At 51.8% G+C, this 25,161-nt stretch overlaps 1 protein-coding gene across 9 annotated transcripts in view, besides 1 other annotated feature; it reads left to right on the forward strand.

Moving 5' to 3' along the window:
• Positions 1–24,567, forward strand: part of PADI4 (peptidyl arginine deiminase 4) — a 55,808-nt gene extending 31,241 nt beyond the window's left edge. For 3 of the 9 annotated variants that reach the window (NM_012387.3, XM_011541150.1, XM_011541152.1), the window contains 11 exons: positions 251–376; positions 2,506–2,684; positions 2,862–2,965; positions 6,591–6,702; positions 8,504–8,611; positions 15,096–15,250; positions 16,546–16,690; positions 16,920–17,022; positions 19,401–19,471; positions 19,843–19,971; positions 24,085–24,567. In NM_012387.3, the coding sequence (NP_036519.2) occupies positions 251–376; positions 2,506–2,684; positions 2,862–2,965; positions 6,591–6,702; positions 8,504–8,611; positions 15,096–15,250; positions 16,546–16,690; positions 16,920–17,022; positions 19,401–19,471; positions 19,843–19,971; positions 24,085–24,318 (1,466 nt within the window). In that variant the 3' untranslated portion in view covers positions 24,319–24,567. Of the gene's footprint in view, positions 1–250; positions 377–2,505; positions 2,685–2,861; positions 2,966–6,590; positions 6,703–8,503; positions 8,612–9,262; positions 9,349–9,395; positions 10,055–15,095; positions 15,251–16,545; positions 16,691–16,919; positions 17,023–19,400; positions 19,472–19,842; positions 19,972–24,084 lie in introns of those variants that run through there. The other 6 variants (XM_047416610.1, XM_011541151.2, XM_011541154.3 and 3 more) reach the window with 6 other exon arrangements.
• Positions 19,121–19,840: an enhancer, noted in NCBI's record as "H3K4me1 hESC enhancer chr1:17685053-17685772 (GRCh37/hg19 assembly coordinates)". NCBI's record gives its function as "activates a minimal SCP1, AML or CMV promoter by ChIP-STARR-seq in naive H9 embryonic stem cells {active_cell/tissue: H9 hESC(naive)}" and the evidence as "EXISTENCE:reporter gene assay evidence [ECO:0000049][PMID:30033119]".

A 25,161-nucleotide genomic window follows, 5' to 3' on the forward strand; every position in this document is an offset into this window, starting at 1 on the left:
TTTGCTGAGGTTACATCCCCAGCTCATCCTAGTGGGAGGAGACCAAAACCTTAATGAGCTCTCATTCCAAAATGAAAACCATCATTTAAATACTCAAAATAGCATAAAGAAAAGAAAACCAGGCAACATGGTAAAGGGAGGTCTCAGGGGAGCGGTGGGGTGTGAGGCTCCACCAGGAGGTGAGGTGGCTATGGGAAACCAGCAGCGGTCTCAGGGCCCTGTGACTCAGGCAATGCCCTTCTCATCCCAGACCTGCAGGACATGTCGCTGATGACCCTGAGCACGAAGACCCCCAAGGACTTCTTCACAAACCATACACTGGTGCTCCACGTGGCCAGGTCTGAGATGGACAAAGTGAGGGTGTTTCAGGCCACACGTAAGTCATCCCCATCTTTGTTCCCCTCCTGCCCTGGCCAACGGGGCACAATCCTGTCACACAGCTGTGTGGCAGATAAATCCTGAGCACCTACTATGTGCCAAGTTCTAAGAACAGCAGACGCAGCAGTGGGCAAGACAGACGACATCTCGTCTACTACCTTCCAGTTGGAGGACACAGACAAAATGACTCGTTATTGCTCCCTGCTTTTCTTTCTCTCTCTCTCACACACGCGCGCGCACACACACACACACACACACACACACCTCCTGGTTATAGACTTTGAGTGCAAGCTGACAGCATGTGGCATGTAATCATTTGTTCTGCAACATCCTGCTAATCAGAGACATCAGGAACTTCTCAGTGACCCACGAGCACCTGCAACTAAGTAGGTGCCAGGTTGATCCCAGGCACGGGGCACAGAGCCATGACTGTGACCGAGTCCCTGCCCTCGTGTTGCTTTCATCTTAGTGGCTGGGAGAACTATAGGTAAAATAATTACATAAAACACCTAGTGTGTCCAACGCTGTGACATGCTATGTAGAAGAATGCGGCAGGGAAGGGGATGTGGAGTGAGGAGTGGAGTTCGGGTTGTGTGGAGAGAGGGTGGCCAGGGAAGGTGTCCCCCATGAGGTGCCATGTGAGCAGAGGGAGGTATAGGAACAGCCAGACAGACACCTAGGGGAAGGGCGTTCCAGGCAGAGGGAACGGCAAGTGCGTGGGCCCTGAGGTGAGATCATGCCTGTGGTTTGGAGGAATGCAGGGAGGCTAGTGCAGCTGGGGCGGAATGTGCAAGGGTTAAAGTGGGGGATGAGGGTGGAAGAGACAGGGCAGAGGGGAAGGGGGAGGTCAGGTAGGCGTATATTGACTTTGGCTTCTGGATGGAAGGAGATGGAGAGCGCCATGGGAGGGTTTTTTTTTTGCATGGGCCTGACAATCATTCTGATCCTGATCATTCTGCCTGGTCTATTCCAAGCTTTTTTTTTTTTTTTTTAATTTTTTTTTTTGAGAGAGTCTCACTCTGTTGCCCCGGCTGGAGTGCAGTGGTGCCATCTTGGCTCACTGCAGCCTCCACCTCCTGGGTTCCAGAGATTCTCCTGTCTCAGCCTCCCCAGTAGCTGAGGTTACAAGCATGTGCCACCACATCCAGCTAATTTTTGTATTTTTAGTAGAGATGGGATTTCACCAGGTTGGCCAGACAGGTCTCGAACTCCTGACCTCAAATGATCCACTTGCCTCAGCCTCCCCAAGCACTAGGATTACAGACACCATGCCCAGCCTCTGTTTCTTTTTTTTTTTTTTTTGAGATGGAGTCTCTCTCTGTCGCCAGGCTGGAGTGCAGTGGCGCAATCTCAACTCACTGCAACCTCCACCTCCTGGGTTCAAGCAATTCTCCTGCCTCAGCCTCCCGAGTAGCTGTGATTATAGGCATCCACCACAATGCCTGGCTAATTTTTTTGTGTTTTTAGTAGAGATGGGCTTTCACCATGTTGGCCAGGCTGGTCTGGATCTCCTGACCTTGTGATCCTCCTGCCTCGGCCTCCCAAAGTGCTGGGATTACAGGCGTAAGCCACCACACCCGGCCTGTTTCATTCTTAAAGTGATTAAACTGACACTGATTTGGTGACAGGTCAACTTATTGCCTCCACCCAGGCATCACCTCCTCCAGGAAGTTCTCAGGGATTCCCTCTATCACAGCTGTCTGCTATTTTCATGATCTCTGCTTCTCCCTACTCACCCGTAAGACTGTGCACTCTCTGGGGGTGAGGATAGGAGGACAGTGACTCTGTCTCCCTGGTCCCCTGCTGTGCCCCTGTCCCCCGCTGACATCTGGCTAGAGCAGATGCTCAGGAATGAGTGAAGGAATGGTGTATACTGGACTTCCTATAAAGTTTGGAATAGCTCAGGCACCCCTGCCACACCCTTCTGGGACTTCAGCCGGGGAGCAGCGTCCCAGCTAGAACTTCAGTCCTTTTCTCCTAAGGGGACTGGCCAGATTTGGCTGCAAGGGGTTCTCTGATGGTGCCATGTGGTGACCCTGGGAAAGGCTTCTGGGGAGCACTAAGGAGAGGAGGAAAAGTCTTCAGAAGTGGGGACGCAGACCTGAGTCTCCCCTGCCTCTCTCCTAGGGGGCAAACTGTCCTCCAAGTGCAGCGTAGTCTTGGGTCCCAAGTGGCCCTCTCACTACCTGATGGTCCCCGGTGGAAAGCACAACATGGACTTCTACGTGGAGGCCCTCGCTTTCCCGGACACCGACTTCCCGGGGCTCATTACCCTCACCATCTCCCTGCTGGACACGTCCAACCTGGTAGGCCGAGAAGGCAGCCCTGCATCGGGGGCCTGGGCTTCCAGGCAGTGGCCTGGCTAGGGAAAGGGGTACAGAGCCCAGCTGGGCAGGGGGACTCCAAACAGCTGCAGGAAGTGGTAGGTGCTGGGCCCTGGCAGCGGTGACAGCCCCTCCTTCCCCTTACCCCCTCCCCTGCAGGAGCTCCCCGAGGCTGTGGTGTTCCAAGACAGCGTGGTCTTCCGCGTGGCGCCCTGGATCATGACCCCCAACACCCAGCCCCCGCAGGAGGTGTACGCGTGCAGGTGAGAGGTCCTGGGGTGCTGGGGTGGGTCCAGACAACAAAGAGCCTGAGTTCCATCCGCAGCACTCACTGTGTGATGGGAAAAACAGTCACCCCTCCCCTGCCCACTGAGAGCTTGCTGCTTGTTGGGGGCTCTAAAAAGGCAGGGAAGTTCCCTACTGTTGTTGTCATTGCCTCTGTCCTGCCCTGATGCAGCTGAGGCTACGTTAACTCCCAGGGGCCTGTAGAGTGTGTCCCATGGACCTTGTGCACCAGAAACTCCTGGGAACTCATTTAAAATGCACCTTTCTGGGCTGGGCACGGTGGCTCACGCCTGTAATCCTAGCACTTTGGGAGGCTGAGGCAGGTGGATCACTTAAGGTCAGAAGTTTGAGATCAGCCCAGCCAACATGGTGAAACCCTGTCTCTACTAAAAAATACAAAAATTGGCCGGGCGTGGTGGCGCATGCCTGTAATCCAGCTACTCAGGAGGCCGAGGCACGAGAATTGCTTGAACCCTGGAGGCGGAGGTTGCAGTGAGCTGAGATTGCGCCACTGCGCTCCAGCCTGGGCAACACAGTGAGACTCCATCTCAAAAATAAAATAACCAGCCTGGCCAACATGGTGAAACCCCGTCTCTACTAAAAATACAAAAAATTAGCCAGGTGTTGTGGCATGTGCCTGTAATCCCAGCTACTCGGGAGGCTGAGGCAGGAGAATCACTTGAACCCAGGAGGCCAAGGTTGCAGTGAGCCGAGATTGCACCATTGCACTCTAGCCTGGGCGACAGAGCAAGACTCCGTCTTGAGAAAATTAAAAATAATAAAAATTAAAAATTAAATTAAATTAAATTAAATTTAAATTAAATAAAATGCACCTTTCTGGCTGCCTGTGAGCTGCTGGGTCTTATCCCTGAGGACGGGGCCCATCTGCATTTTGGGGAGGCCCAGGCAATCTTCCTGCAGTCTGAGAGCCGCTGACAAGTGTGCTGGGGTCTCAGGAGACCCTCTCCTCCCCTCTTCTGATAGCTTCAGGGGCAGAAGAGTAAGAGGGTAATGTGGTCAGGACGCAGGCTGGAATCCAGTGAGGACTGTATTCCGGTCCCAGCACTGTTCCAGGTGGTGTGACCTTGAACAGTGAACTCATATTCTGTCTTCTCCCAAGTTGATATGGTTTGGCTCTGTGTCTCCACCCAAATCTTATCTTGAATTGTACTCCCACAATTCCCACGTGTTCTGGGAGGGACCTGGTGGGAGATAATTTGAATCATGGAGGTGGTTTGCCCCATACCATTCTCATGGTAGTGAATAAGTCTCATGAGATCTGATGGTTTTATCAGGGGTTTCCACTTTTGCATCTTGCTCATTTTCTCTTGCCGCCGCCATGTAAGAAGTGCCTTTTGCCTCCCACCATGGTGTCCCCAGCCATGTGGGAGTGTAAGTCCAATTAAACCTCTTTTCCTTCCTAGTCTCAGGTATGTTTTTATCAGCAGCGTGAAAATGGACTAATACAGTAAATTGATACCAGTAGAGGGGGGCGTTGCTGAAAAGATACCCAAAATGTGGAAGCAACTTTGGAACTGGGTAACAGACAGAGGTTGGAACGGTTTGGAGGGCTCAGAGGAAGACAGGAAAATGTGGGAAAGTTTGGAACTTTCTAGAGACTTGTTGAATGGCTTTGACAAAAATACTGATAATGATATGAACAATGAAATCCAGACTGAGATGGTCTCAGATGGAGATGAGGAACTTGTTGGGAACCGGAGCAAAGGTGACTCTTGTTATGTTTTAGCAAAGAGACTGGTGGCATTTTGTACCTGCCCTAGAGATTTGTGGAACTTTGAACTTGAGAGAGATGATTTAGGGTATCTGGCAGAAGAAATTTCTAAGCAGCAAGGCATTCAAGAGGTGACTTGGGTGCTGTTAAAGGCATCCAGTTTTAAAAGGGAAGCAGAGCATAAAAGTTCAGAAAAGTTGCAGCCTGACAATGCAATCGAAAAGAAAATCTCATTTTCTGAGGAGAAATTCAAGCCAGCTGCAGAAATTTGCATAAGTAACAAGGAGATTAATGTTAAGCCACAAGGCAATGAGGAAAATGTCTCCAGGGCATGTCAGAGGTCTTCATGGCAGCCCCTCCCGTCACAGGCCCAGAGGCCTAGGAGAAAATGGTTTCGTAGGCCAGGCCCAGGGTCCCCATGCTATGTGCAGCCTAGGGACTTGGTGCCCTGCATCCCAGCTGCTCCAGCCATGGCTAAAAGGGGCCAGTGTAGAGCTCAGGCTGTGGCTTCAGAGGGTGGAAGCCCCAAGCCTTGGCAGCTTCCACATGGTGTTGAGCCTGCAAGTGCACAGAAGTCAAGAATTGGGGTTTGGGAACCTCTGCCTTGATTTCCAAAGATGTGTGGAAACGCCTAGATGCCCAGGCAGAAGTTTGCTGCAGGGGTGGTGTTCTCATGGAAAACCTCTGCTACAGCAGTGCAGAGGGGAAATGTTGGTTTGGAGCCCCCACACAGAGTCCCTACTGGGACACCACGTAGTGGAGTTGTGAGAAGAGGGCCACTGTCCTCCAGACTCCAGAAGGGTAGATCCACTGACAGCTTGCACCGTGTGCCTGGAAAAGCCACAGACACTCAACACCAGCCTGTGAAACTGGCCTACCAGGAGGGAGGCTATACCCTGCAAAGCCACAGGGGCAGAGCTGCCTAAGACCATGGGAACCCACCTCTTGTGTCAGCATGACCTGGATGTGAGACCTGGAGTCAAAGATCATTTTGGAGCTTTAAAATTTGACTGCCCTGCTGGATTTTGGACTTGCATGGGCCCTGTAACCCCCTTGTTTTGGCCAATTTCTCCCATTTGGAATGGTTGTATTTACCCAACACCTGTACCCCCATTGTATCTAGGAAGTAACTAGCTTGCTTTTGATTTTACAGGCTCATAGGAGGAAGGGACTTGCCCTGTCTCAGATGAGATTTTGGATTGTGAACTTTTGGGTTAATGCTGAAATGAGTTAAGACTTTGGGGGACTGTTGGGAAGGCATGATTGGTTTTGAAATGTGAGGATATAGGATTTGGAGGGGCCAGGGGCAGGATGATATGCTTTGGTTCTGTGTCCCCACCCAAATCTCATCTTGACATGTACTCCCATAATTCCCAAGTGTTGTGGGAGGGACCCAGTGGGAGATAATTTGAATCATGGTGGCAGTTTCTCCCATACTGTTCTCATGATAGTGAATAAGTCTCATGAGATCTGATGGTTTTATCAGGTTTTTCTCCTTTTTCTTCTTCCTCATTTTCTCTTGCCACCGCCATGTAAGAAGTGCCTTTTGCCTCCCACCATGGCCTCCCCAGCCATGTGGAACTGTAAGTCCAATTAAACCTCTTTTTCTTCCCAGTCTCAAGTATGTCTTTATCAGCAGCGTGAAAACGGACTAATACACGGGTGGAAGGGGTACCCACTAGTTCCTGCCTCATAACTTGTTAGATGGATTCCATGAGCTAATGCCTGCTAAGAGCAGATGGACCGGACGTGCCAGGAGCCTCTGTTCAGGCCACAGGTGACCCCTGAGCCACCTGTGTGTCCCTCCCAATCCTTCCAGGCTGAGCTTCAAATTCCAGAGCACTAAGGAGCTGCTTTTCTGCTCTCTCTAGTATTTTTGAAAATGAGGACTTCCTGAAGTCAGTGACTACTCTGGCCATGAAAGCCAAGTGCAAGCTGACCATCTGCCCTGAGGAGGAGAACATGGATGACCAGTGGATGCAGGTATGTGCCCTGCGGGGCAGGCAGGGTGACTGTCCCTGAGGGCCAAGAGACACTTGGGGGACCCGGGCTCCTGGGGTTCAGCCTGGTGCCTCACCGGCCACTCTTCCTTAGATGGACAGGGAGATAGGAACCTGAGAGATCCTTGGGCCGGGAGGCTCAAGCAAGTGATTCATCTGACGTTTGCTGTGGGCCACTGCAGGCCCACTGCAGTCACCAAGATGAAGCCACCTTCCTGCTTGAAAACACTCAGGTGGCCTCAGGAAATGATGTGAAGCTCAGGAGATTGGTGCTCAACCAGCCCCTCAAGTGGTCCTCCCTCCAGGCTGTCCATCTTGGGCCCAGCCACCAAAGCAGGTCACACCCCAGCTCCAGCACTTTCCATGGCTCCCATCTCCTCCTGCTTAGTCTGTTTCCAGGCCCTCTCAGCCTGCCTGGTTCCCTTCCCTGGGGCCAGCCTGCCACTGTGCCTGGAAACACATGATTACCAGTCTCTGTTTCCGTGCCACTCCCCCATCATGCCAGGAGTGCCCCAAGGACTGAGACTGGGCCTCATCCAGCCTAGCACCCTGACCCTCCCCACCACTGCCTTGCTTTGCCTCGGGACCCTGTCCTTCCATGCCGCACCCCTGCGGTGCTGTCTCTTGGACCCATCTCCCCATTCCCATCCCCCATCTCCAATCCATACCGGTGAATCCCAGCACAAATGCTCCTCGTCCATAAATTTCCCCCATCACCCCCAGCAGGAATTCATCCCTCTTTCTTTTCACCCCCACACAACATCCTTTCTTCCTTTCTTGCCATTCCATCTTTTCTTTTCTTTTTTTTTTCACTCTTGTTGCCCAGGCTGGAGTGCAATGGCTCGATCTCGGCTCATCACAACCTCTGCCTCCCGGGTTCAAATGATTCTCCTGCCTCAGCCTCCTGAGTAGCTGTAATTACAGGCATGTGCCACCACGCCTGGCTAATTTTGTATTTTTAGTAGAGATGGGGTTTCTCCGTGTTGGTCAGGCTGGTCTCGAACTCCTGACCTCAGGTGATCCACCCACCTCAGCCTCCCAAAGTGCTGGGCTTACAGGCATGAGTTACTGCACCTGGCCGCCATTCCATTTTTTTGATACCAAGTTGACCTGTGTGAAATTGCTGATATGTGCCATTTTTGATTTGCAAGAGTGGAACTTTCATCTGGTTCATCCTAATAGTAACTTATAGTAGTGATTATGTCCAACATCACACCTGCCTGCTAGAATACAAGCCTGCGGAGGCGGAATTTTCAGCAGATTCATTTCTGAAACCTCCCCGTGCTCCTCCTGCTGCTCCAGTGGCCCAGGCTGGGTCTTATCTGCCCTCCTTTGGGGAGGAGGCCGCGAGCTCTGGCGCCAACAGGTCTTCTCTGGCCCATCCTAGCTGCATCAGGAGCCCCTCCTCTGTGTCCCCACAGACCCCTCAACCCCTCACCCCCCATCACCTCCTAACCCTGGTGCCCACTGCCTGGCTCCCTTGTTTTCTCACCTTGAGGAGGGGTCTCAGTTTTGCTCACCAGGGGTCCCCAGCACTGGCCCAGGCACCACCAGGAGTAGGAGGGAAGGGCACTCCTGCAGGCTCATGGCCTCTCGTGCACTGGGCAAACAGGGGGCAATAAGCTCCGCTTCTGAGCCCCTTCTCTGAGATCAAACATCCCATAGGAATGTGCCCTTGACTGCAAGGGTGAGAGTGAGTGGATGGTTTCATGCCCCCATCCTGGCGTCGGGCACCAAGACCCAGGCAGCACGCGCAACAGCCTCCTCTCCACTCACTCCCACAGGATGAAATGGAGATCGGCTACATCCAAGCCCCACACAAAACGCTGCCCGTGGTCTTCGACTCTCCAAGGAACAGAGGCCTGAAGGAGTTTCCCATCAAACGCGTGATGGTACCTGCATGGGGTGGGGAGGGGGCACAGCTGCCGAAACCCTCTTGTCTTGAGACTCCCTCCTTTTAGCCTGCCTTCCCCGCCCGCGCCTGTAGCTGAGTAGCCCAGTGCAAGGAGGTGGAATTCCTACCAAAGTGGGAGCATGTAGGTGGGGCTTGTTATTTTTTTATTACCAAGATAAGATCTGGCTCTTCATTTCCCAAAACCCTTGTCACCCGTGAGCTCAGCTTGATCTCCAGGTAACCCTGCCGAGGAGGTGGCTCAGGCTTGGACCTCCCTGTGCTCTTGAAGAAGCTCTTGCTGCAAGGTGGAGGTGGGGCCGGGGCTGGAATCTTTCCCAATGCCCAGCTGGAGGCTCTGTCTTATGGGTGGTGTTTGGTCTTCAGGGGCTCCATCTGGGATATGGGGGATTTTGGGATCAGTGGATCAGTGGTCATTTCCTGGGTGTGACTTTATCAGCCACAGGCTGTCCATGTGGAGGTGGGAAGTGACGTATTGCTGACTCATGCTTGACTAGCCTGGCAGGTTGATGCAAACTCAGCACAGAACAATAATAATAATAGTTGCATTTATTGAGAATGAGTTGTGTGTTAGCCAGTGCTGCATTCTTTACCTGCACTGACTCATTTAATTTGATAAACTGTTATGGAGATTCTATCAATAGGCCCATTTTATAGAAGAAGAAACTGAGGCTCAGAGTGGAGAAGTTGGAATTCAAACCCGGCCAGTCCGGCTTGGTGAGCATGCTTTTCCCCGCCCTGCCTCCCTCTCCCTGCTTTCCCAGGAAGACCCCAGGCCTGCGCTCTGAGTCCTGGCAGCCCCTTGGCTCAAGGTGCCCAGGGAAAACGACGGAAGGAGTGTGGGGTCCAAGGTTTGCTAGGACAAATGGCTTTCCGACAAGCATCTGTACTGTGCCCCAAGGGAGGGGAGAGTGGCCCTGCCCACACAGAAGGCTTCAGAATGAAACTTCAGTTAAACTCAACAACTTGTCCCGAGTCTCGCTTCCTCCTGGCCAAGCTGTGCGCTGAGCAGTGGAGATGCAGAGATGCTGTTGGATTCACAGTGTGTACTCAGCCATGGGGTCGAGTTCATCCTGTTTCAGCAGCGTTGGGGCGAACCAGCCAGCTGCTACCGTGACTTTGCCCTCTTTCTGCTGCTTTCAGTCCTGCCTGGTTCAGTGGCTGTGTCTACTTTGATGCTCCAAGTATAACAAAGGCCAGATTTTCTGATGCCACAAGTCCTGCTGGACAGACAGACGGACACCTCGGCACCATTGTTGTCCCCTTTCCCACAGACAACTTTGGATGAAGGCAGGCAGCACTGGTCCCTCAGCTAAGCACATCTGTGTATTCCAACTCAAATCACTCAGAATGAGGCCAGGTGTGGTGGCTGACACCTGTAATCCCAGCAGTTTGGGAGGCCAAGGAGGATGGATCACCTGAGGTCAGAAGTTCGAGACCAGCCTGGCCAGCATGGCGAAATCCCGTCTCTACTAAAAATACAAAAATTAGCTGGGCATGGTGGTGTGTGCCTGTAATCCTATCTTCTCAAGAGTTTGAGGCAGGAGAATCCCTTGAACCCAGGAGGCAGAGGTTGCAGTGAGCCGAGATTGCACCACTGCACTCCAGCCTGGGTGACAGAGCAAGACTGTATCAAAAAAAAAAAAAAAGAAAGAAAAAGAAAAAACAACAACAAAAAACACCCAAATCACTCAGAATGAAGAGAATTGGAGAAAAAGTCACACTCAGCACCAGGCTTTGGCCCCACCTGCCTCTCCAGCACCATTGTAGGCCACTCTCGCTGTCCCTTACCCAGCCCCACCTCCACTGGCCTCCTTCCTGTTCTTCAAACTTGCCTAACGTTTCCCCACCTCACGGTCTTTGCATATGCCGTTCCCTCTGCTTGCAGTGCTGTTCCCTGTTCACGGGGCTGGCTGCTTCTCAGCCTTCAGGTTTCAGCTTCTATTTCCTACTCAGTGAGGCCTTCCCTGATGCTAAAAGAGGGATCCCTACTCCCACCCCAACTCCTAGCCTTCTCCACTACAGCCCCCTGTTGACTTCTTCAGTGTATTTTGTTAAAATCATGGACTCGTTCATCTACTTTTCGTTGCCTGCGCTGCTGGGCCTGAGGCTGTTATGCCTTACGCTGTCCATCGGGCAGCTGGCACAAAGCTTCACACACAGTGGTTGTTCTTCCTGTAAGCATCGTCAGTAAATTTTCTATCACCACCATCAATGGGAAACCAGCAGCACTTCCTGCAGATAGAAGGCAACTGTGAAGTTAAACAGAATGAAACAAGATCCTGCTACCAAAGCCAGCTCGTTACAAGTGACTGCAGCATCTCTGAGCTCGAGGTCAGCTCTCTGCTGGTTAAAATGAGGGATTAGCAGGTGTCAAGGATGTGTTTGCATCACTGAAACTTGAATTTTTGAGGAACCAGAAAAGACTGGAGGAAAATGAGAAGGGCAACAGCTTTCCAACGTTGTGCCTCAGGCCGCATCACCTGGCATCCATGAGCGTCCCCCACACAGCCCACTCTTGGGGGGCCACTTCTGCAGACTATGGATATGCCTTCATTTGCCTGCAGAAATCCAAGGCTGAAGGCTGTATAACTGACCCCCTCTCACAACAACAGCCAGGGCAGTGATGTGGCTGAATTTACATTCATTCATCAAACACTGTTTGAACACATACTCAGCGGGGCCTTGTTCTAGGCACTTGAGATATGACAGGGAGCAACGCCAAGGTCCCTGACCTCACGGAGGGGACGTTCTGGCCCAGAGAGACAGACAGCAGACAATGAATAGAACAAAGCAGTTATATGGTTCCTTAGAAGGGGATGTCAAGAGCTACAGGTGCCAGGTGTGGTGGCTCATACCTGTAATCCTAGCACTTTGGAAGGCCAAGGTGGGAGAATTGTTTGAACCCAGGAGTTTGAGACCAGACTGGGCAACATAATGAGACCTTGTCCCTACAAAAAAAAAAAAAAAATTGTTTCAATTAACTAGGCATGGTAACACATGCCTGTAGTCCCAACTACTAGAGAGGCTGAGGTGGGAGGATCGCTTGAGCCCAGGAGGTCAAGGCTGCAGCGAGTCATGATTGCACTTCTGCACTCCAGTCTGGGTGACAGATGAGACCTTGTCCCAGAGGAAAAAAAAAAAAAAAAAAAGAGCTACAGGGAAAGACAGAGTAGAGCGGAATGGAGGGGCTCATAGGTGCCAGCGTGGTAGGGAAGGTGGATTAGGTTACATTCTTAAAGCCGAGTCTGGTGGCTCATTCCAGTAATCCCAGCACTTCGGGAGGCCAAGGCTGGTGGATTACTTGAGCCCAGGAGTTCGAGACCAGCCTAGGCACCATAGTCAAACCCTGTCTCTACAAAAAAAAAAAAAATTAAAAATAAAAATAAAAATAAGCCAGGCATGGTGGTGCATGCCTATAGTTCCAGCTACTTAGGAGGCTGAGGTGGCAGGACCCTTGAACCCTGAAGGGTGAGGCTGCAGTGAGCCATGATCACACCACTGCATTCTGGCATGGGCAATAGGAGTAAGACCTGGTCTCAAAAAAAAAAAAAAAAAAAAAAAGATTGCGTTCTTAAATAGGATGGTCAGGGTGGGCTTCACGGAGAAGCTGACCTTGCAGCAGATGCTTGAGGGAGGTGAGCGAGTTGGCCATGTGAGTGGGTGTCTGGGTGAAGAGTGTTGTAGGCAGTGAAACAGCCAGTGCAAAGGCCCTGGGGCAGGAGCATGCCTTGAGTGTTCCAGAACAGCAAGAGGGCCTGGAGGGGTAGAGCAGAGCAACCAGGAGGAGAGGCAGTCAGAGAGGAGATAGGAGGTGGTAGAAAAGGCAGTCAGGGAGCTGATGGGAGGCAGTAGGAGAGGCGGTCAGGGAGGTGATGGGAGGTGGGAGGAGAGGCGGCCAGGGAGGTGATGGGAGGAGAGGCAGTCAGGGAGGTGATGGGAGGAGAGGCGGCCAGGGAGGTGATGGGAGGAGAGGCAGTCAGGGAGGTGATGGGAGGTGGGAAGAGAGGCAGTCAGGGAGGTGATGGGAGGTGGTAGGAGAGACTGTGGTCAGAGAGGTGATGGGAGGCAGTAGGAGAGGCAATCAGGGAGGTGATGAGAGGTGGTAGGAGAGGCGGTCAGGGAGGAGATGGGAGGTGGTAAGAGGGGTGGTCAGGGAAGAGATGGGAGGTGGTAGCAGAGGTGGTCAAGGAGGTGATGGGAGGAGATGGGGGGCAGTAGAAGAGGCTGTGGTCAGAGGTGATGGGGAAGGGACGGGATGACCGGATGGGGTTGGGCTTGTTGGCTACTGTTAAGGCTGCTTGTTTAGAAACTGAGAATCATCACAGGGTCTTAAACAGAGGAGGATTATGATCTGGTTTGTTAGAAAAGGGAACAAGCCCTGCTATGTGTTGTTGAGTAAAGAGAACAGAGGCAAGGGGCAAGGGAGTGGGCAGGTGAGGGATGCTGGGAGTGCAGGCAGGGTGTGGCCAGAGGAGGTGAGAAGCCATGAGATTCCGGCTATGTCTGGAAGGCAGAGCCAGCAGGGCATTCTGACCCCCGCTATGAGAGAGGCAAGCCAAAGCTGACAGCAAGGCTGTGACCTCTGTGGGTGGCAGGCACCATCCCCTGGGAGGGGAGGACTGTGGGAGGAGGAACAGATTGATGGAGAATGAGGGGGTGGGAAGAGGGGACCCAAAGTTCTGTTTAGGGCAAGTGGGAGACAATTGGTCAACATCCAAATGGGAAGTCAAGTGAGCGTGGATACACATGTGATGTTTGGGAGGGAAGGGATGCCCAGAGATGCGAACATGAGGGTTGTCGGCTCGGGAACGGAATTCCATGAGACTTGGCAGGACGACTGAAGGGGCAAGTGAGGTTGGAGGTGAACCAGGATCCCCCGGTGTCCTGAAAGCCAAGTGCAGAAAGTGTGCGGAGAACACAGGTGTGACCGCCTGATTCAGGGGCTTCTGAGGGGAAGGCGAGGCCCGCGCATTGCACTTGGGATATGGCCATGTGTTCATGGAGACCTGGACAAGGAAAGCTTTGATGGGCGGGAGAAGCGGGTTGGTCTGGGTTTTAGAGAGAAGTGGAGAGAGGAACTGGAAGTGTGATTGTTAAATCTGTGGAATCAGGCCAGGCGCAGTAGCTCACACCTATAATCCCAACACTCTAGGAGCCGAGGCAGGAAGATTGAGCCCAGGAGTTTGAGACCAGCCTGGGCAACATAGTGAGACCCCATCTCTACAGGAAAGAACAACTTTAAAAATTAGCCAGGTTGTGATAGCATGCACCTGTGGTCCCAGCTACTCGGGCGGCTGAGACGGGACCGTGATCCTTTGAGCCCAGGAGGTCAAAACTGCAGTGAAGAAGTAAATTTGAAGATCACAGACCTCCTTAAGACCCACTCATCTTCCCAGAAACTCACACCTGGGCACATAATTTGGCGTCTACTCTCAGGGAGTTCATGGCCCCCATGAAGCCTCAGGGAATGGACCATCTATGTGTAGAAGGCTAGATGTACCCTCTCCTGGGAGGCAGGGGAGATGGGCGGTGGACTGAATAATGGCCCCTCTACATCCTAGTCCCCCCGAACCTGATGTTTCCTTATATGGTAAAAGGGACTTTGCTGAATGTAATTATATTAGGGATCTTGTGATGGGGTGATTATCCTGGTTTATCCTGGAATGCGGGAGGGCCTGTGATGATGGAAGCAGAGACTGGAGATCTTTGAAGGTGGAAGAAGGGGCTGCCAGCCAAGGCGGCTATTAGAAGCTGAAAAAGACACGGAAATATAATAGATTCTTTCCTCAGGGCCTCCAGGAGGAACCAGCTCTGCCATCCCTGGACTTAAGCCCAGTGGAACTGATTTCACACTTCTGGCCTCCAGAATTTTAAGAGAATAAATGTGGCTGGGCGTGGGGGCTCATGCCTGTAATCCCAGCACTTTGGGAGGTCGAGGCAGATGGATCACTTGAGGTCAGGAATCCGAGACTAGACTGGCCAACATGGTGAAACCCCATCTCTACTAAAAAAAAAAAAAAATACAAAAATTAGCTGGGCGTGGTGGGGCGTGCCTGTAGTCCCAGCTACTCAGGAGGCTGAGGAGTATTCCTTGAACCAGGGGCGGAGGTTGCAGTGGCTGAGATCATGCCACGGCCCTCCAACCTGGGCAACAGAGTGGGACTCTGTCTTAAGGGGAAAAAAAATGATGTTTTACAGATTTGTTTTATGCCCAAGTTAAGGTTTACCAAGCAGCTGGCACGCTTTAGGGACCCAACAAATGCTAGTCCCTTTTCTTGTCCATTGAATGAACTCAACATTCCTTTAACCTTCCACATGTGATAACAGCACCTGCTATGTGCCAGCTGTAGACGGTACTGAGTTACTTCCTGTGCCCAAGTTCATCTCTAAACTTGGACCCCCCGACCCTTCACCAGGGACCTCATTCCTCTAACTCTTGGCACTCCCTTCTCCTATCTCAGGGTCCAGATTTTGGCTATGTAACTCGAGGGCCCCAAACAGGGGGTATCAGTGGACTGGACTCCTTTGGGAACCTGGAAGTGAGCCCCCCAGTCACAGTCAGGGGCAAGGAATACCCGCTGGGCAGGATTCTCTTCGGGGACAGCTGTTATCCCAGGTAAGGAGGGGAGTAACAGGAAGGGGTGGCCAGGACCCAGGTATGCCGTAGAAAAGCAGAGGCCAGAGTGGAAGCCTTGCCTTCCTGCTTCCGATTCTAGACAGCCCAACAGACTTGAGGGAGTGTGAGAGGAATCCAAGCGCAGGGTGAGGAATGCGGGCTTTGGAGCCCATAGACCCAAGTTCAATTCCAGCCCTGCCACTTACCCTCTTTCAGTCAGTGAATATTTACTGAGCATCCAAAATGTTCTGGGAGCTGGGAATGCAGCCGTGGACAAGAAAGACAAGTCCTTACCACTACTCTAGTAGGGAAACAGATGATAGAAAAGTAGACAAGATAACTTCAAATGACAAAAACAAAAGAGAGGGGCACGGGAGGAATAGGAACTGTTAGGGTGACCAGGGAGGTCCTCTCTGGGGAAGGGGCTTTTGAACTGAGGCCTAATGACAGAAGGGACAGGGCCACCTGGAGATCTGGGACAGAGAGTTCCTGGCAAATGAAAGTGCATGTGCAAAGGCCCTGAGGCAGGAATGAGCTCCTGCGTGCAAGGCCAGGATGGCTAGAACCTATTGAACAAGAAGAGGCTGGGCACAGTGGCTCACACCTGTAATCCCAGCACTTTGGGAGGCCAAGGCAGGTGGATTACCTGAGGTCAGGAGTTCGAGACCAGCCTGACTAACATGGCGAAACCCCGTCTCTACTAATGCAAAAATTAGCTGGGCCTGGTGATGCATGCCTGTAATCCCAGCTACTCGGGAGGCCGAGGCAAGAGAATCGCTTGATCCCGGGAGGCGGAGGTTGTAGTGAGCCGAGATTGTGCCAGCCTGGGCAACAGAGCAAGACTCTGTCTCAAAAAAAAAAAAAAAAGTGAGGAAGAACAAGGCACTGCAACACTAATTTTTTTTTTTAGGAGAAAACTGAGGCTCAAACAGGTGAAGGAATGTCCCCAAGGCCACATGGCTAACAAGAGATCACCGACTTAGGTCAGACTGGCTCTAAGCCCCATGTGTACCCAGAATACCAGCATCTCATCTAACTCAAGAGGCAGTGCTTTCTGAGGCTAAGCTCTGTTCTACTTACCTTAGTGACTCTGTGCCTCAGTTTCCCCCAATAAAACTAGAATGACAATTCCTTGATTTCTCAAATGTTAGGGGATAAAATAAAGGCATTCTAGACTCCTGCATCCCTTTCTCAGCTGAAGGAGAACCCTGACCTTTTTGCCAAGCCCCTTGTCCTTCAGGGACTTCCCTGTAGCCCTTGCTGCCGATAACACCCCTTTAACCCTGCCATGACAGCAATGACAGCCGGCAGATGCACCAGGCCCTGCAGGACTTCCTCAGTGCCCAGCAGGTGCAGGCCCCTGTGAAGCTCTATTCTGACTGGCTGTCCGTGGGCCACGTGGACGAGTTCCTGAGCTTTGTGCCAGCACCCGACAGGAAGGTACAGTCTTGGGGGCTGCCTCAGGAAGCCATGCCTCCTTCCTGGGTAGACCCTCTGCCTGGGGTGGGAGCAACTTTACTTGTCTATTTCTCCTTCACCCTTAGGATGGCAGTAGAGGAGGTGGCCAGCTTGGGTCCAAGTCCACACTACTCCCACCCTCAGCAGATCCACCCTCGTTGGGAGCTCCAGGGGCAAAGCTGACTTCTAACCCCAGTGTTTCTGCCTCCAGGGCTTCCGGCTGCTCCTGGCCAGCCCCAGGTCCTGCTACAAACTGTTCCAGGAGCAGCAGAATGAGGGCCACGGGGAGGCCCTGCTGTTCGAAGGGATCAAGAGTAAGTCGGCCCTGCCTTGTTCTCCTGTCTGTGCACCTTCCTGCTTCCCATAGTCCGCTGTTGCCTGGAGGGAATCATCCAGGCAATAGGGTAGCATCTGAGCACCTACTGTGCGCCAGGCACTGTGCCAAGTGCTAGGGAGACTGCATGAACAGGGCAGAACAGCTTGCTGCCCTGTGGGCTCACAGGCCAGGGGGAAGTGAGTCAAAAGAACAGCTCCAACACAGGGGCTTTGAGGGGTGTCTGAGTGGATGGAGCTCAGGGAAGGCTTCTTGGAGGAGGCAGAGGCCAAGCAGTAGCATGCAAGTAGGGGTTGGCTGGGCAAACGGGGCAGGGAAATGAGAGGAAGAGAGATACCACAGGCAGAGGGACGGGGGTGGGGCGGCTCAGAGGCAGGAGAAAGCACGATGTGTGTGAGGACCTCGGGGAGGTTCGGTATAGCTGGAGCACAGATGAAATATTACTCTCTCAGCAGAGCTCACAGACATGGGCCAGGCCCCGGGCTGAGATGCCTCTGTGGCTGAGAGCTCCACCTCAGATCTGAGTATGTTGTGTGGCATCAGGAGAGGGCTGACCTGTTTCTTCCTCTCTCGATGGGATCTCTTTGGAGATAAGATAATTTAGCGTTAATGCAAGGCAAAATGTTCCAGTGAACAAGTTTCATGGTTCAACTTTATAATAATTATAAGTAAACCTGTTAAATTTTTCTGGACATTCTTTTCTTTTGAAACGAAGTTTTCCTCTATTGCCCAGGCTGGAGTGCAATGGCGCGATCTCGACTCTCTGCAGCCTCTGCATCCCGGGTTCAAGTGATTCTCCTGCCCCAGCCTTCCGAGTAGCTGGGATTACAGGTGTGCACCACCACACCTGGCTAATGTTTTGTATTTTTAGTAGAGATGGGGTTTTGCCATGCTGGCCAGGCTGGTCTCGAACTCCTGACCTGGTGATCCACCCACCTCGGCCTCCCAAAGTGCTGGGGTTACAGGCATGAGCCACCACGCCTGGCTTAAAACAAGGACATTTCTTATTGACAGCAACTAAATGGTACTTGTAGCATTTTTATCACACAGTAGATTCCATCCATTCACTATACTTTTCTGAGCTGTCTGTCCTGCATGCAAGTAGATATTTTTAATGTTGTCTGTTTTCTGTGCTGTTCCTGTAAGTGTGCTATTAAAATACACTAAACTAGGCTGGGCGCGATGGTTCATGCCTGTAATCCTAGCACTTTGGGAGGACGAGGCGGGTGGATCACGAGTTCAGGAGTTCAAGGCCAGCTAGGCCAAGATGGTGAAACCCCGTCTCTACTAAAAATACAAAAATTAGCCGGGCGTGGTGGCGGGTGCCTGTAATCCCAGCTACTTGGGAGGCTGAGGCAGGAGAATCACTCGAACCCGGGAGGTGGAGGTTGCAGTGAGCCAAGAATGTGCCACTGCACTCTAGCCTGGGTGACAGAGCAAGACTCAGTCTCAAAAAAAAAAAAAAAAACAAGAAAATATTAAACTAGGCCAAGTGTGGTGGCTCACACCTGTAATCCTAGCACTTTGGGAGGCTGAGGCGGGTGGATCACCTGAGGTCAAGAGTTTGAGACCAGCCTGGCCAACGTGATGAAACCCCGACTTTACTAAAAGTACAAAAATTAGCTGGGCGCAGTGGTGCGCACCTGTAATCCCAGCTACTGGGGAGGCTGAGGCAGGAGAATCGCTTGAACTCGGGAGGTGGAGGTTGCAGTGAGTCAAGATCGCACTACTGCACTCCAGCCTGGGCGACAGAGCAAGGCTCTGTCTCAAAACAAAAAAAAAATTACACTATAAAAATATATTTTAGGCCGGGCGCGGTGGCTCACGCCTGTAATCCCAGCACTTTGGGAGGCCGAGGCGGGCGGATCACGAGGTCAGGAGATCGAGACCATCCTGGGTAACACGGTGAAACCCCGTCTCTACTAAAAATACAAAAAATTAGCCGGGCGAGGTGGCGGGCGCCTGTAGTCCCAGCTACTCCGGAGGCTGAGGCAGGAGAATGGCGTGAACTCCAGGGGGCGGAGCCTGCAGTGAGCCGAGATTGCGCCACTGCACTCCAGCCTGGACGACAGCGAGACTCCGTCTCAAAAAAAAAAAAAAATAATAATAAAAATAAAAATATATTTTAAAAAGAATTTAAATGAGGTGAGAACAACATTTTTAATGAGAACTTATACTGCTAAAATATTGTATTAAAGATATTTGACTTGCAGATGCTCACAGCAAACCTGTATGGTAAGAATTATTACTGACTCCATTTTATAGATGGGAACACTGAGTCCCCCCCCGGCACTGGCTGGGAAGAGGGAAATCGACCTCTAAGTTCATTTGCCTTTTTTTTCTTTTTCTCCATGACAGAAAAAAAACAGCAGAAAATAAAGAACATTCTGTCAAACAAGACATTGAGAGAACATAATTCATTTGTGGAGGTAGGAGCCTGGGTGCCTACACCCCAGCAGACCTGACGCCCTGTCCCCGGCTCAGCCACTTTCCCAGTGATTAGAGGCACACAGAGGCTCAGGGTCTCAGGATGCGCTGGAAGACAGAGACACAGAAGCAAGGGCAGAAGCAAAGACTGGGAGAGGCTGAGGGAGCAGAGGGAATGGGAGGCCCCAGGGTCCCCCGAGAGCACTGGCCAGAGGCCCCTCTGTGCAGTGAGGCCTGGCAGCCACCTTCACTGCCTTCCTGACACTGTCCCAGGTCCTACCCTCCGGCAGGGGGCCTCAGCCCCACACTGTCCCCCACCCCCACCCCCGACTGCCATCAGTCCCCCACTCACTGCCCCTGCCCCTTCCCCAAGAGATGCATCGACTGGAACCGCGAGCTGCTGAAGCGGGAGCTGGGCCTGGCCGAGAGTGACATCATTGACATCCCGCAGCTCTTCAAGCTCAAAGAGTTCTCTAAGGCGGAAGCTTTTTTCCCCAACATGGTGAGGAGGTGGCGGCTTTAAAACCCCAGGGTGTGGCATGGAGGTAGCTCAGCCCGAGAGGCCAGTGGGGCACCCGGGCGGTCCCAGAGGGCTTGGCTCCTCTCTGTAACCGTTTGTAGCTTTGTCCTGAGTGGTACAAGGTCAGACGTGACCAGGTCCATGCACGTTGGTGTCTTTCCACAAGGTCAGGCTTCTACTGATGCTATTTCCATCATAAAATCCACAAGCCACACGGAGTTCCCCAGGGGCAGTCCTCAGGTGGGCAGAGCCCTGGGCACACAGGCTCAAGCCACTCCACAAGTCAGTCAGTCCTGCAAACCATACATAGTAGTGTACTTAATCAACACAGAAATGTTACAGATGAAACATTCTTACCAAACAAAGCAATATTTAACATCAAGAGAGAAGGGGATAGGAAAAGGGGTCAGTGAACCAGTCCAAGGAGAGTGATGTGGACAAGGAGAGGGTCCTGGGCTGATCTAAATGGACATCAACGTCTTGCAAGGAAGAGTGTAATTTTGGCAGAGCCTTCAACAGCGGGTGCCAGGTGCTAATCACTAGTGACAGCAAGACAGTGTCTGTTAAGACAGTCATCTTGAGGCCGGGTGCGGTGGCTCACGCCTGTAATCCTAGCACCTTAGTAGGCCAGAGCGGGTGGATCACTTGAGGTCAGGAGTTCGACACCAGCCTGGCTAACATGGTGACACCCCCATCTCTACTAAAAATACGAAAATTAGACAGGTGTCCTGGCAGGAGCCTGTAATCCCAACTACTTGAGAGGCGGAAGCAGGAGAATCACTTGAACCTGGGAGACGGAGGTTGCAGTGAGCCAAGATCATGCTATTGCACTCCAGCCTGGGTAACAGAGTGAGACTTTGTCTCGGGAAAAAAAAAAAAAAAGACAGTCATCTTGAGCTAGTGAAGACCTGCTCTTTTTATAGCCAGAGTCCTCTGGTGAGGACTGATAGTAATAGAGTATGCCTGCTTATGTCCCTATCTGGTTGGGTGCAGTCTCTGTTGATTAGGCAAACATCTGGTTCCTGTTAGCATGGTGCCTTTTGAAATGTAAGATGGAGTCTTTTTCTAAGATGGAGTCACTTATGCCAAGGGTGCTCTATACAGGCTTGCATGGCCCTGTACCACTTCCAGAGCACCTTCTGGTATCTCACAACAATTCCAGAAGTCAGAGTCTATCGTCGCTTCTGCCAGGGCTCTGGCTTCAAACCCCATGCCGTAACTACCATGCTGCCTTCCCACGTAGCACCTTCCCTGGGGCTCCGGGGTGATGCAGGGGATGGAGGGATGGATAGGGAATCAACCAACAAACACGACACCCTCAAGTCACCTTATGCACCATAACAGGGACACACGTGGGGGCACCACCTCAGACTGGAGGGTCCGGGAAGGCCTCTGTGAGGAGGTGGGGCTGGCACTGCCTAGGCTGAGTGGGATTCACCTTCTGGAGGCTGCACTTGTGGGTGGTCCCACCTTTGTCTTGAGCGTTCACCGTGGCCCCTAAGTGCTGTCTTGATATCATCCATTGTGTTTTTGCCATTCCTTGGCCCCATTCCTCCCTCTCTTCAGAGCATACCCGAGACCGAGGCAGAGACTTCACCCGGTCCTACTGGGGAACCCCAGCCACCCCCTTCTTCTGGAGCTGGGGGTTACAGTTCAGGGAGGAGCCAGCAGGCCCTACCACCGTGGTTTTCAAACTGGGTTCCCACTCAGCCTAGGCAGTGCCAGCCCCACCTGGGGCTCCGGGGTGGTGCCTCAAATCCAGTGGTTCAGATTTTCTGTTTCTGCATTGACATTCTGCAAAAGATTGTGTGTAGAATAAAGGGTTCCTTGGCCAAAAGGAATTAAAGTATTGACCCCAAGCGTTTTGTTTCCCTCCAGTTTGGCCAAGCCAGGCTTCCCAGTGCGGGAATGAAAGTGGACGCCCGCGGCTATGGTAGTCAGCAACGCTGAGGGCTGACTGTGTGCCTTCACTGTTCAAGGTCCCCAGAGGGAGTCTGAGCATGAGACCAGACTCTCTCCCAGGAGCTGGCTGTGGGAGGCGGGGAAGAGGGAGTGATGAACAGTACGAGGCACTTAGCACGCATGGGCTGTGTCTAGGCGGTGGCCCCCTTGAGGACTCATGACCCATGGAAAATGGCTGTGCATCTACTGTGTGCCAGCACAGTGCTGTGCCTACATGTTCTTACCTAATTGTCATTGCAACGGAGATATGTGTTGGGCTCATTTTGCTGATGAGGCTCAGAGGGGTGATATGACTTGCCTAAGGCCACACAGCTATTGAATAGCAGAGTTAGGATTCAAACCCACATAGGCCTACAGCCAAAATCCCACCTTCCCACCTCACCAGGCCACCTGCCAATCTAATGGAGGAAGCAGAGTCATTTACATACATTATTTACATATGGAAAGTGCCATAACAGAGGCAGTCATTTATCTGTCTAGTCAACAGATGTTTATTGAGTGCCTACGACGTGCAAGGCGCAGTGCTGGGAGTTATGGGAACACAGAGCAGGAGTGACTGCCAGAGCTCAGGGATTCATGGGCAGTTTCACAGAGGGGCTGCCATCTGAGCTGGGCCCTGAGTAATAGAAAGAGTTTACCAGAAGGTGACAGGTAGGGGAGGAGAACGTAGTGTTAAGAGCATGGGCAGCATCAGAAAGAACGAAATCAGCCAGGAGGGGTGGCTCATACCTGTAATCCCAGCACTTTGGGAGGCTTAGGTGGGAGGATTGCTTGAGTCCAGGAGTTCAAGACCAGCCTGAGCAACATGGAGAAACTCTGTCTCTACAAAAAACACAAAAATTAGCCAGGCGTGGTGGCATCTGCTGAGGCAGGATGATTGCTTGAGCCCAGGAGGTGGACACTGCAGTGAGCTGAGATGGCACCACTGAACTCTAGCCTGGGTGAAGAGTAAGACCCTGTCTCAAAAAAAAAAAAAAAAAAAAAAATTAAATAATGTCCTTTGCAGCAACCTGATGGAGCTGGAGGCATTATCCTAAGTGAACTAAAACAGAAAATCAAATACTGCATGTTCTCACGTATAGGTAGAAGCTAAACAGTGGATACACATAGACACAGAGATGGAAATAATAGGCACTGAGGACCCCCAAAATGGAGAGAATGAGAGCGAGGTGAGGGCTGGAAAATTACCTATCGGGTACGATGTTCATTGTTTGGGTAATGGATACACTAGAAGCCCAGTGCCCACCAGTAATCAATATACCCATGTAATAAATATGCATATGTACCCCCAAATCTAAATTTTTAAATTTAAAATAAATAAGAGTATGGAACTTGGAGTCTAATAGCTGTAGTCCAAGTATAGCTGGGTGGCCTTAGGCAAACAATTTTCCACGTCTGGGTCTCAGTTTTCTCATTTGTAAAGTGGGGCTATTATTTTTATTTTGTTTTAATTTTTGAGACAGAGTCTCGCTCTGTCACCCAGGCTGGAGTGTATTGGAATGATCTCGGCTCACTGAAACCTCCACTTCCTGGGTTCAAGCAATTCTCCTGCCTCAGCCTCCCAAGTAGCTGGGATTACAGGCACACCTGGCTCATTCTTGTATTTTTAGTAGAGACGGGGTTTCCCCATGTTGGCCAAGCTGGTCTCGAGCTCCTGACCTCAGGTGATCCACTCGCCTAGGCCTCCCAAAGTGCTGGGATTACAGGCATGAGCCACCACACCCAGCAATTTTTATTTTTGAGGTAGAGTCTCGCTCTGTCGCCCAAGCTGCCAGGCTGGAGTGCAGTGGCACAATCACAGCTCACTGCAGCCTTGACCTCCTGGGCTCAAGTGATCCTCCTCCCTCAGCCTCCAAAGTAGCTGGGACCACAGGCACGCACCACCATGCCAAGCTAATTTTTAAAAATACTTTTTTTAGAGATGGGGTCTCACCATGTTGCCCAGGCTGGTCTCAAACTCTTGGGCTCAAGCGATCCTCCTGCCTCAGCCTCCCAAAGTGCTGGGACTACAGGTCTGAGCCACCACCCCTGGAGGGGCTATTATTTCCAAAGGTCAGAGAAGGGTGGGGCCGCTCAGATTGCGCTGCAGGCTGCCCGCTGCTGCCTGTGACCTGAACCCTCACTTCCCTGCAGGTGAACATGCTGGTGCTAGGGAAGCACCTGGGCATCCCCAAGCCCTTCGGGCCCGTCATCAACGGCCGCTGCTGCCTGGAGGAGAAGGTGTGTTCCCTGCTGGAGCCACTGGGCCTCCAGTGCACCTTCATCAACGACTTCTTCACCTACCACATCAGGCATGGGGAGGTGCACTGCGGCACCAACGTGCGCAGAAAGCCCTTCTCCTTCAAGTGGTGGAACATGGTGCCCTGAGCCCATCTTCCCTGGCGTCCTCTCCCTCCTGGCCAGATGTCGCTGGGTCCTCTGCAGTGTGGCAAGCAAGAGCTCTTGTGAATATTGTGGCTCCCTGGGGGCGGCCAGCCCTCCCAGCAGTGGCTTGCTTTCTTCTCCTGTGATGTCCCAGTTTCCCACTCTGAAGATCCCAACATGGTCCTAGCACTGCACACTCAGTTCTGCTCTAAGAAGCTGCAATAAAGTTTTTTTAAGTCACTTTGTACATGAGGTCAAGATGTTGTTGGTATCATTCATTCATTCACTCATTTGTCATGGTTGAATTGACTATCACAAAACAAACTGAAAAGTGTTAACAGGCTGCACTGAAGGCCACGTTATTGTGTGTGTCTTTTGCTCCCAGACATGTATTTGGGCTATAAAATTTTGCATGATCCTAGTTCGTTCTGAGTTTCCCACGGGACCTTTCCAAGAAGAGGAGGAGGAGGGAGCAGGGGAGGGGTAAGCCCCGCTGAGAATCTGGGCATATCCCTCTTTAAACTCACCTACAACTGGGCATTCACCTACGTACTGATAGCGATGGATTTTTGTGGAATGAAGTAATTCATCTCCTCGGTGTTCTTTTTTATATTGCCTTTTATGGCTTCGACATAAAGACTCAGATTCCTCTGTAGAAAATAAAACTTGATGGCTTGAGATCATTAAAATTGAGACCAGATATTGGCTCAAAAGGGTCCAAGATATTCAGAGAACACCCAGGGATCCTGTTATTTTCATGTAGGTCATGGAGAATATATGATGGCGGAAAAGATGAATATCAAAAGCCTCTGCCTTCACACTTCCTGATTTCAAAACATACTACAA

This window comes from Homo sapiens, chromosome 1, assembly GCF_000001405.40.
Source record: "Homo sapiens chromosome 1, GRCh38.p14 Primary Assembly".
In the NCBI taxonomy this organism is placed as follows: domain Eukaryota; kingdom Metazoa; phylum Chordata; class Mammalia; order Primates; family Hominidae; genus Homo; species Homo sapiens.